The sequence below is a fragment of the Homo sapiens genome, chromosome 22 (assembly GCF_000001405.40).
Source record: "Homo sapiens chromosome 22, GRCh38.p14 Primary Assembly".
NCBI classification, from domain to species: Eukaryota; Metazoa; Chordata; class Mammalia; order Primates; family Hominidae; genus Homo; species Homo sapiens.
Window position 1 is genome coordinate 24836216 of NC_000022.11, and position 12629 is coordinate 24848844.

General features: G+C 45.2%; 1 protein-coding gene across 4 annotated transcripts in view; it reads left to right on the plus strand.

Moving 5' to 3' along the window:
• SGSM1 (small G protein signaling modulator 1) overlaps window positions 1–12629 on the plus strand; it is a 121368-nt gene that overhangs the window by 30005 nt on the left and 78734 nt on the right. For all 4 annotated transcript variants that reach the window (NM_001039948.4, NM_133454.4, NM_001098497.3 and 1 more), the window contains exons 3-4: window positions 8682–8757; window positions 11419–11581. In NM_001039948.4, coding sequence (NP_001035037.1) covers window positions 8682–8757; window positions 11419–11581 — 239 coding nt within the window. The remainder of the gene's footprint in view (window positions 1–8681; window positions 8758–11418; window positions 11582–12629) is intronic.

A 12629-nucleotide genomic window follows, 5' to 3' on the forward strand; every position in this document is an offset into this window, starting at 1 on the left:
CGTCTAGATTATTTCACTTAGCACAGCGTCCTCAAGGTTCATTCGTATTTTGGCATGTGTCAGAATTTCCTTCCTTTTTAAGGCTGGATAGTATTCCATTGTGTGTGTAGACCACATTTTGTCTATCCATTCAGCCATCGAAGGACACTTGGGTTGTTTCCACCTTTTGGCTACTGTGAATAATAGTGCTGTGAACATGGGTATACAAATATGACTTTGAGACTCTGCCTTCAGTTCTTTTGGGTGTATGCCCAGAAGTGGAATGACTGGATGATATGCTAATTGTATGGTTAATCTTTTGAAGAACCACCATACTGTCTACCATAGCAGCTGCACCATTTCACCTTCTGATCATTGCACAAGGGTTCCAGTTTCTCCACATCCCCACCAACACTTACTTTCTGTTTTTTCATAGCAGCCATCCTAATAGGTGTGAGTGGTATCTCATTGTGGTTTTGATTTGCATTTCCCATTGAACATCTTTCCATGTGCTTGTTCGTCATTTGCACATCTTCTTCAGAGAAATGCCTATTCAAGTCCTTTGTCCATTTTTGAATTCAGTTGTTTGTTGTTGAGTTGCAGTTCTCCATATATTCTGGACATTAACCCTTTATCACATAGATGATTTGCAGATATTTTCTTCTATTTCACGGGTTGCCGTTTTCACTGTTTATTTTGTTCTTTGATCCACAAAAAGTTTTAACTTTGCTGTCCAGTTTACCTATTTTTAATTTTGTTGCTCATGCATTTGGTGTCATATCCAAGAAATCATTGTCAAATCCAATGTTGTAGGGACCAGCCCCACAGGGTCGGTGGGTCTCTCCCTGTGTGCGGCAACAAGAGAGTGTAGAAATAAAGACACAAGACAAAGAGACAAGAGAAAAGGCAGCTGGGCCCGGGGGACCACTACCACCAATGCACGGAGACCGGTAGTGGCCCCAAATGTCTGGCTGCACTGTTATTTATTGGATACAAGGCAGAAGGGGCAGGGTAAAGAATGTGAGTCACCTCCAATGATAGGTAAGGTCACGTGGGTCACATGTCCACTGGACAGGGGGCCCTTCCCTGCCTGGCAGCTGAGGCAGAGAGAGAGAGGAGACAGAGAGAAAGACAGCTTATGCCATTATTTCTGCATATCAGGGACTATTAGTATTTTCACTAATTTACTACTGCTATCTAGAAGGCAGAGCCAGGTGTACAGGATGAAACATGAAGGCAGACTAGGAGTGTGACCACTGAAGCACAGCATCACAGGGAGACGGTTAGGCCTCCAGATAACTGCGGGCGAGCCTGACTGATGTCAGGCCCTCCACAAGAGGTGGAGGAGCAGAGTCTTCTCTAAACTCCCCCGGGGAAAGGGAGACCCCCCCCCCCCCTTTCCCAGTCTGCTAAGTAGCGGGTGTTGTTCCTTGACACCTTTTGCTACCGCTGGACCACGATCCGCCTGGTAACGGGCGTCTTCCCAGATGCTGGCATCACTGCTAGACCAAGGAGCCCTCTGGTGGCCCTGTCCGGGCATAACTGAAGGCTTGCACTCTTGTCTAATGGTCACACCTCACTATGTCCCCTCAGCTCCTATCTCTGTATGGCCTGGTTTTTCCTAGGCTATGATTATAGAGTGAGGATTATCATAATATTGGAATAAAAAGTAACTGCTACAAACTAATGATTAATGATATTCATATATAATCATATCTAAGATCTATATCTGGTATAACTATTCTTGTTTTATATTTTATTATACTGGAACAGCTCGTGTCCTCTGTCTCTTGCCTCGGTGCCTGGGTGGCTTGCCACCCACACAATGTCATGAAGCTTTCTCCGTTTTCTTGTATGATTTTTATAGTTTTAGCTTGTGTTGAAGTCTTTGGTCCATTTTACTTTAATTTCTGTATGTGGTATAAGGTAAGGGTCCAATTTTATTCTTTTGTATGTAGCTATCCAGTTTTCCCAACACCATTTGTTTTAAAGACTATCCTTTTGTTACCAAAACACCAGGGATTTGGTCTAGGTCCTGCTGATCACTGCACAGAAAGCCGATCACTGAGATGACAAGTATTGCCAAGGAAGAAGGGTTTAATTGGGTGCTGCAGCTGAAGAGAAGGGAGCTCAGTCTCAAATCCATCTCCCTGACTGACTAAAACTAGGTGTTTATATAGCCAGGAAGAAATGCAACAATGTGTAAGAAAACAAGAACTAGGGAGCACAAGGAAGCAAACATGGTGAATGAGTGGGTTCCCTTCCATCTGTGATCTGGTGAGTTTCAGTTCTTTGATACTTTTTTTGACAGGCCTGAAGGACCTTCTCTGAGGAAGGAACTCAGATAAATACAAGTTTCAAGCTTTTTAAGACCACAAGGGTCAATTTCTATGTTTATCAAAAAGGACAGTTTATGGGGTAGTTGGGTCAGTTTCACTTTCTTCTTTGAATGGGCATGACACCCTTGACAAAAATCATTTGATTATATATGTGAGGTTTTAGTTCTGGGCTCTCTATTCCATTTGTCTAAATGTGTGTTTTTTTTTAATGACAGTACCACATTGTTTTGATTTCTGTAGTTTTGTTATAAGTTTTTAAATCAGGAAGTATGAGACCTCGAACTTCATTCTTCTTGTTGAAGATTTTTCAAGAATATTTTTCAAGACTGTTTGATAGTCAGGGTTCCATGAGATGTTCCTTGATATTAATTTTAGGATAGATATTTATGTTTCTGCAAAAAAAAAAGCACCATTGGGATTTTGATAGAAATTTCATTAAATCTGTCGATTACTTTGGTAATATCAACATTTTAGGAGTATGAAGTCTTGGAAACCATAAACAGAGGATGCCTTTCCATTTATTTGTCTTGTTTTTATTTTGAGATAGAGTCTTGCTCATTTGTCCAAGCTGGAGTGCAGTAGTGTGATCATGGCTCACTGCAGCCTCAACCTCCTGGGCTCAAGCTATCCTCCCACCTCAGCCTCTCAAGTAGCTGGATTGCAGGCACATGCCACCATGCCTGGCTAGTTTTTGTATTTTTGTATTTTTTTGTAGAAGTTGGGTTTCACTGTGTTGCCCAGACTGGTTTCAAACTCCTAGGCCCAAGTGATCCTTTTGCCTCAGCCTCCCAAAGTGCTGGGATTATAGGCATGAGCAACTGGACAGTGACCGACCATGTTCTTTTAATATGCTGTTGAATTCTGTTTTTAGCATTTTGTTGAGGATTCTTGCATGCATATTTATCATAGATATTGGTCTGTAGTTTTTTTGTGACTGGCTTTGGTTTCAAGGTAGCCCTGACCTTATAAAATGAGTTTGGAAGTGCTCCTGCCTCTTTAATATTTTTGGAAGAATTTGAGAAGAATTAGTTTAATTATTTTCATGTTTGGTAGAATTCAGCAGTGAAGCCATGTGGTCCTGGGCTTCTCATTATTGGAGGGTTTTAACTTACTGATAGCATCTCCCTGCTATGATACATCTGTTAAAATTTTCTATTTCTTCATGATTTAGTTTGTATATTGTGTGTTTCTAAGAATTTATTCATCTTATCTAGGTTATCCAATTTGTTGGCATACATTTATTTGTTTATAGTATTCTCTTATAATGGTTTTTTCTGTGGCATCAGTTGTAATGTCCTCATTTTCATTTCTGATTTTAATTTTGAGAATTCTTTTTTTTCTTAGTCAATCTTGCTAATGGTTTGTCAGTTTTGTCGATCTTTTGGACAAACCATCTCTCTTTTTTTTTTTTTTTTTTTTGAGATGATATCTTGCTCTGTCACCCAGGCTGGAGTGCTGGAGTGCAGTGGCGCGATCTCAGCTCACTGCAAGCTCCGCCTCCCAGGTTCACGTCATTCTCCTGCCTCAGCCTCCCGAGTAGCTGGGACTACAGGTGCCCGCCACTATGCCCAGCTAATTTTTTGTATTTTTTTAGTAGAGACGGGGTTTCACTGTGTTAGCCAGGATGGTCTCGATCTCCTGACCTCGTGATCTGCCTGCATCAGCCTTCCAGATTGCTGGGATTACAGGTGTGAGCCACCACGCCCGGCCTGGGCAAAACATGTCTTGATTTTGTTAGTTTTCTCTGTTTTTAAATTATCTTTCATTTATGGCTGCTCTAATCTTTATTTTTTAATTTTTGAATTTTTAATTTTTATGTATTTATTTTGAGAGGCAGTCTCACTCTGTCACCCAAGCTGAAGTGCAATAGTGCGTTCTCGGCTCACTGCAGCCTCCACCTCCCGGGTTCAAGCAATTCTCCCACCTCAGTCTCCCAAATAGCTGGGATTACAGGCATCCACCATCATGTCCGGCTAATTTTTGTATTTTAGTAGAGACAGGGTTTCACCATGTTGGCCAGGCTGGTCTTGAACTCCTGACCTCAGGTAATCCGCCCGCCTCAGCCTCCCAAAGTGCTGGGATTACAGGTGTGAGCCACCATGCCCAGCCTAATCTTTATTATTTCCTTCTTTCTGCTAGCTGTGGATTTAGTTTGTTCTTCTTTTTCTTGTTCCTTAAGGTGTGCAGGTAACTTGTTTCTTTGAGATCTTTCTTATTTTAATGTAAGCATTTCCAGCTGTAAGTTCCTTCTTAGCACTGCTTTTATAGCAGCCCATATTGTGTTTTTGTTTTTATTGGCCATGTTGTGTTTTTGTTTTGTTTTGTTTTGTTTTTTAAGACGGAGTCTCGCTCTTTCACCCAGGCCGGACTGCAGTGGCGCTATCTCGGCTCACTGCAAGCTCCGCCACCCGGGTTCACACCATTCTCTTGCCTCAGCCTCTCGAGTAGCTGGGACTACAGGCGCCCACCACCACGCCCGGCTAATTTTTTGTATTTTTAGTAGAGACGGGGTTTCACCGTGTTAGCCAAGATGGTCTCGATCTCCTGACCTTGTGATCCGCCCGCCTTGGCCTCCCAAAGTGCTGGGATTACAGGCGTGAGCCACCGTGCCCTGCTGTGTTTTTGTTTTTATTTATCTCAATATATTTTCTAATTTCCCTTGAGATTTCTTCTTTGACACATTTATTATTTAAGAGTACACTGTTTATGACTCTTATTTGTGGGTTTTCTAGTTTTCCTTCTGCTGTTGATTTCTTGTTTCATTCCATTGTGAATGACAAAGATGCTTTGTATGATCTCATTTTTAAAAAAAATGTATGATGACTAGTTTTGTATCCTAAGATATTCTCTCTCCTGGAGAATGTTCCATGTGCACTTGAGAAAAGTGGGCATCCTGCCATCATTAGGTGGAGTGTTCTGTACATATCTGTTAAGTCCAGTTGTTGGTTTATAGTGTAGCTCAAGGCCTCTGTTTCCTTATTGATATTCTGTCTGGTTGTTCTATTGACTTACCTTTTAACGAGATCCTTCTGGCTGTATTAAAATGAGCTTCTTAGAAGTGGATGCAGGGAGACCAGTAAGAGTCTACAGCATTGATTCAGGGGAGAGGTGATGGTGACTTGGACTGGGAGGTGGTGGTGGAGGGGCTGAGAAACGGTTGGAATCTGAGAACATTTTGAAGGTACAACCAACATATTTGACTGAATCTTTAGAAGTTGGTGCTGTTTTTTGTTTGTTTTTTGTTTTTGAGATGGAATCTCGCTCTATCGCCAGGCTGGAGTGCAGTGGCACGATCTCGGCTTACTGCAACCTCTGCCTCCCAAGTACTGTTGTCCTAAGGGGGTAAAGGAATTTGCCCAAGTTGTGATAAGTGTCTCATCCAGGATTTGAACCCAGGTCTGTCTGTCCCCAAATTCTCAGTTCTTAATTAACCATGTACATTCATGAAAGTGCTCCTGACCCAGCTGCCTGGACTCCCCCACCCCCAATGTCTCCCTGACAGTCCTCTACCATCTACGACTAAGCCTGGACTCACTCCCTCTGTTGCTACATTCCCAAATGTCATCAGGGTCTGGGTGCTTGGCAACTGCCTTCCAGCAGTTTCTCAGCATCACCGTGTCCTGCCTTAGAGGAGCAAAGGAAAGAAAGAGGTAGATTCCTGCAGAGGGGAGAGAGGTGTGCAAACGCTCTGAGACCACCTGGGCTTCATGACATGTTGCAGAAGGAGCTCAGCCCCTGGAGTCAGACAAACCTGGGTCCAAACACCAAATCCAGTCCTCATAGCTGTGTGACCCCAGACAGATTACTCCACCTCTCTGGGCCTCTGTTTCCTCCCCTGACAAATAGGGATAATAATGTTACTGCTCTATTATCCACAATTATGGTTATAAGAAAATATATATTTTTTTTCAAATAAAATACTCTACCAAAGCCTGAGGTCAATCATGATTCTTTGAGCCATTCATTTTCCAAAGAGAACTTTATTGAGCACATACCATGTGCTGGAACTCAAGGTAGTTGTTGGCACCATAGCCATAAAGCAAGGAAACACAGAATGGTTGCCCTCATGGGGATCAGAGCCTGGCAGGGAAAACAAGTACTGACCAAATGTTACACGTCTGATGGGTGTTTCAAGAGCAGCTTCTCTAGGAACCCAAGCAGGGGAATTTGATGTCCTGAACCAGCGACATTCCAGCCAGGGCCAAAATAACGGTGATGGGAGGCCAGGGAAGGTTTCAGGCAGAGCTGATGACCTGCATGCAGCCGACATTTATTTGCAGCACATTTTGCAGACATTTATTGCGTGCCAGGTTCTGTGCTCAGCACATGATGATCATTATCTTGTTCAGCCTTCCCAAGTGCCTTGAAGCTGGTGCTATTTCTATAAACTTTTTAGCCAAGGAGAAAACTAAGGTTCAGAGAAGTGACATGATTTGCCTGAGGAAACACAGCTAATAGTGGGAGGAGCCAAGGTACAGCAGCAGGAGCCATGATGGGAGAAAAAAAAAAGAAAGTGATAAGTTTCAATTTCTACTCTGCTCCTTCCTACCCTGTGACCTTGAGTGGTCCGGTTTGCCTCCACGAGACTCCATTTCCACATCTGCAAAATGAAGCCAACTTCTCATGGGCCTCCCTAGATAGTTTTCAGGGTTAGAAATGCTGCAGGCAATGCCCAGCTTGGAGTTGGTGGAGCACTGAAATCAGGAGCTGTTCACAGCGCTGGTGCTGACTTGGTTGTGTGGGGTGGGGGTGGTGAGCCAGCTCTAGGGGGACACTGCCATGTGTTTCTGCAGAGAAGGTGGACAGGGATGCACCAAACTGTGTTCATCTCCAGGAGGTAACCAGAAGGCAGGGAGAGCAGGCAGGGAGGGCCTGGGACAGCTCTCAGATGGATGCATGGATGTGCTGGCCTGGTGGAGTCTGGATGGGCCACAGGACAGTGGGAAACGCTGTGGGTTCCACTGGGTGGGGGTAACTCAGAACTTTGCTTTATTTACCCCAAACATCAGAATCCTCAGGGTGACATAGAGCTGGAACAGGCCTTTTGGATTGTTTTCCAACCTCCTCAACCTCAAAGTGGGGTAACTGAGGTCCAGAGAGGAGACGGACTTTGCTTAAATCCTACAATGACTCTGGGCAGAATCAGGCCCAGAATCTAGTGGAGCAGAAGGTATTCAGGCTGCCAGAGGATCAACACCAAGAGCAGAGAGGCACAGCTGCCCTTTTGCACTGTGTCCCTGTGCCTGGCACATTAGAGGCACTCAGGTGAGAATTCTTGAGCAAGGGAGTGCGCAGGGAAGAGCACACAGCCTGGGTGTCTGTCTCGAGCTGGAACCTGTCTCTGATAGCCAGCTCTGCCTCCCTGGGTAAGTGCTTTCATCTTGCTGAGCATCCATTTCCCAAAATAAGATCAGAAACCCACTTGGGAGGTCTCCAAGCAGGGATTTGAACTCAGGTCTACCTGATTCCAGGGCAGGTTTTTTTACCCTGCACTTTCTTGATTCCTTTATATATCTTATTCATTCATACACTGATTCATTCATTCATCCAGTCATTTAGAAAATGTTGATTGAGCATCTGCCCTGTGCCAGGCACTGTTCTAGGCTGTGCAAATTCAGCAGTGAATGAGGCAAATGAAGTTTCTGCCCTTGTGGAACTTAAATTCTAGAAGAGAGAGATAGACGGTCAACAAATCAACAAATAGAATGGGAATAGTGGTAGACTGGGCGCGGCGGCTCACGCATGTAATCCAAGCACTTTTGGAGGCCGAGGCGGGCAGATCACTTGAGGTCAGGAGTTCAAGACAACATAGTGAAACCCCGTCTGTACTAAAAATAGAAAAGTTAGCTAGACGTGGTGGTGGGCACTTGTAATCCCAGCTACTCGGAAGGCAGAGGCAGGAGAATGGCTTGAACCCGGGAGGCGGAGGTTGCGATGAGCCAAGATTGTGCCATTGCACTCCAGCCGGGGCAACAAGAGCGAAACTCCGTCTAAAAAAAAAAAGAATGAGAATAGTGGTGAGTGCCCTACAGGAACTAAAACAGGGGATGGGAGTGGGGAGGGGTCTGCCTTAGACAGTGTGGTCAGGAAAGGAGATGACGTTTTGTGAGATGCCTAAGAGAAGCAGCAGCCTGCTGTGTGAAGAACCTGAACGAATAATTGATAAAATGAGAAGCATGGAGCTGTGACAGGCCTCAGACCTCCAAAAGACAAGGCGAGGAGGGGGAAGGAAAGCAGGTGTCAAAACATCCCAAACAGCCTGAAAGGCCTTGTGGGGAGCAATGCAGCCCTTTTGGGGCACCTATACCCAGGTCACCTTGGTCACCTTGGACCTCTTCCCCTCCGGTCACCTTTGCCTTCCAGGTGAAGCAGATCATGGAGGAGGCTGTGACACGCAAGTTTGTCCACGAAGACAGCAGCCACATCATCTCCTTCTGTGGTGAGTCTGTGACCTGGGAAAGTGGCTTCTTTCTCTGTGGGCTGCCTCGGGGAAGTGGTGTCTTGGAGCCACTGTTTTGCTTTATGACTCTGAAGTTAGTTTTGGATTCCAGAGGGGGACTCGATTGGAGAATTTGAAAATACAGAACAGTGTAGAGAAACAATTAAAAATGACTTCTGTACCCCATGAAGAGGTCAGTGTGGTTAACACCAGAGGGGTTGTCTTCCTGTAGGCACCATTCACACCGACCACACCCCAAGTGACACACAGTCTTGCATCTGAGGAATGGGCTCCCTGTCCCTCACTCTGCCTGTGGCTATTGCTAGGTAAAGGGAGAGGGTAGATGGGGACTTTTAAAAAAGGGAACTAAGAGCCCGTGACACATCCTGAAGGATCGCGTCCATCTGGCTCAGCAAAGAAGGCAGGCCGAGGGCTCAGAGCGTGACTCAGACATGTCTCCTTGAACCAGCTCTGCTCACAAGCTTCTGGAAATAACCCCATGGCCAGGCTTTTGCTGTACTTTGAGAATGGCTAGAGATGGGGTCTGAGTGTCTCTGAGGTCAGGATAATCAGTGTGTACATAGAAGTGGGAGTCTTTCTGTCTCCCTGAAAATGTCTTAATTTAATAATTGGAGTGTCTCATAATGCAGGACATGTTCTAATTCCCCTCCCGTGATCTTGGTCCTGTGGAGAGGCCTGAGCTGGGAGAGCTGGCCAGCCCATCAGCTGCCGTCCAAATGGCTGGGGGCACCACCCCACGGGGCCCACAACATGCTGAGCACACGCTGTGACCCGGGAGGCAAGGACCTCAGTTCACCCTCTCTTCAGCCAGGCAGACCTGGATCCACCTCTGCCGCTTTCTTGGGAGGCAAGGACCTCAGTTCACCCTCTCTTCAGGCAGGCAGACCTGGATCCACCTCTGCTGCTTTCTTGTAATTGACTTTGGGCAAGATCTTTCTTTTCTTTTCTTTTCTTTCTTTCTTTCTTTCTTTCTTTCTTTCTTTCTTTCTTTCTTTCTTTCTTTCTTTCTTTCTTTCTTCATTTCTTTCTCTCTTTCTCTCTTTCTTTCTTTTTTTTTTTTTTTGAGACAGGATCTCACTCTGTCACCCAGGCTGGAGTGCAGTGGCACAATCACAGCTCACTGCAGCCTCAACCTCCTGGGCTCAAGCGTACCTCCCACCTTAGCTTCCCGAGTAGCTGGGACCACAAGTATGTGCCACCATACCTGGCTAATTTTAAATTTTTCTGTAAAGATGGAGTCTTGCCATGTTGTCAGGGCTGGTCTTGAATTCCTAGGTTCAAGCATTCCTCTCTCCTTGGCTTCCCAAAATGAAGATCTTATTTTTTTTTAAGTGGGATGTGTTTATTTAAACATATAGCTCTACACACATACACACATGCACATAATTACATACATATATGTATGTGTATATATACATATATATGTATTCCCAGTTTTTTATGTGTTCCTGAATATTTTTATTTCCAAATAAAATTATATGCATGTCCATCTTAAGACTTGCTAGCCTACCTACCAATTAACTTAGAGGAATAAAAGTAATAAAAATAGTATAATAATTCAGTAGCTCTACTCAAAAGTATTTGGGTGGGAGAAATTTGATGGCACTAAATGAAGCCTAAAGAATCTCCTCAAGGTTTCTTTTGTCCATTGTTTCTTATAAGCTGTTGTCAGGAAGGATTAAACTATGTCTACAAAGCCTGAATAGTCAGTTCACTTACATCGCCATAAGCAAATGAAAAGTACTGCATATGTAAGTTAAAATTAAGATATCTAAGAGATCATCTCCTCAAATATTTTAAATCTATGGGCAGATTAGGCAATATTTGTTTTTTTGTTTGTTTGTTTTTTGGGGTTTTTTTTTTTTGAGACGGAGTCTCGCTCTGTCGCCCAGGCTGGAGTGCAGTGGCGCGATCTCAGCTCACTGCAAGCTCCACCTCCCAGGTTCATGCCATTCTCCTGCCTCAGCCTCCTGAGTAGCTGGGACTACAGGCGGCCGCCCCCACACCTGGCTAATTTCTTATATTTTTAGTAGAGGCGGGGTTTCACTGTGTTAGCCAGGATGGTCTCGATCTCCTGACCTCGCTCTCCAGCACCCAGCATGTCCCAGATCTGCCCGCCTTGGCCTCCCAAAGTGCTGGGATTACAGACGTGAGCCACTGCGCCTGGCCCGAGATTAGGCAATATTTGATCATTCATTCAAAACAAAGTGTTTTCTAACTCAAAAAAACAAAACAAAACAAAAACAAACAAAAAACCATGGTGATGAGACCAAAACTTCTCAATATTTCTCCTTGCACGTAGCATAACCTTGGTCAAGCTATGCCCCCTGAGAGCACTGGTTTGCTCTTTAGAGCTCTTACTTCATGAGTTTTGTCACAAGAATTAGGAAAGGTAAGTCTTAACAATTATCCGACACCCAGCAGATGCCTAATAAGGAGTACTTCTTATATAGTCACTTTTTCAATAAACATTGATTATGCACCTATACAAGTGTGAGCTCCCTGTCTCTGGGGTAAGACAGAAGGTAAGAAGATTGAGAGGGCTCTCCAAGGTTCCAGTGTCTGACAGAAGCTCTGGGACATGCTGGGTGCTGGAGTGCATGGGCAGGGCAGGGTCTGCTGACTGCCATGTCCCTGCAGCGGCTGTGGAGGCCTGCGTTCTGCACGGGCTTCGGCGGCGGGCGGCTGGCTTCCTACGCAGCAATAAGATTGCAGCCCTCTTTATGAAAGTGGGCAAGAACTTCCCGCCGGCTGAGGATCTGAGCCGCAAGGTGCAAGACCTGGAGCAGCTGATCGAGAGCGCGTGAGTGCAAAGCATGGGGCACAGGTGGGAGCAGCTCCCCCAATAGTCCACAGTCCTCCCTGGGTCCTGAGAGAGCCTGCAACCCCTAGCACTCTTTTCAGTCTCCATCCTGCTTCTCAAACCCACCAGACTCTTTCCCACCCCAGGGTCTTTGCACGTGCCTCACCCTCCACCAGACTCACCCATCTGATCGTCCATAGCTGCTTTCTTGTCATCATTCAGACCTATCGTTATCTCAGAAAATTCCAACTCTCACTCCATCTTCTCTTCCATATCACCCTGTTTATTTCCCTCCCCGTTGTTGTTGGTTGGCCATCTATAGTTATTCATGTCAGGTTTGTTTGTTTGTTGTCTGTCTATCTCACTTGATGCAGAACTTCATGAGAGCAGGCAACTAGATCTGTTTTCTCCCATTATGTCTCAAGCATCCGGGCCAGTGTCTAGCACCTGGTAGATGCCCAAGAAACAATTGTTGAGTGAGTGCCTGCTAGGACCCACGGCCTGTTCTAAATGCAAGGCAACCAAAGTTTGATAGAACCAATATGGCCTCTGTCTGCATGGACCAGACACGAGGGCCTCATATCAATAGGCATATTATAACACATTCAAATACACTGACTAGAAGTTAAAAAAAAAACTCTCATACTGAAGTAACCTTTGAATGGGGGAGGTGGCTTCCCTCCCTCATCTTGGTGACTGGTGGTATGTGTTGGGGGAGGCTCATGGACAGAATGTGTGCATGTGAGCACCTTCAGCCAGAGCCACTCCCTGGGAGGTCCTGTCTGCACAGCCAAACCCCCAGTCTACAGCCTGGTCAGGGAATGACAATTTGGTTTCAACTCCTGGCAACAAATTCGGTGCTGGTGGCTTCCCAGAGGAATGTGCTGTGATTCTGAAGCTGTGATTGGGCGTTCTGGGGAAAAGCACATGGATTGATTGGTCATGTCTGTCAAGGGCAAAGGCAGGGAAGACACAAGCATGTCCTATGTTTGCAGTCTCTGCTGTGGATGGTCACTCCACTTCACTGGATGAGAATGGCCCTTTCCTT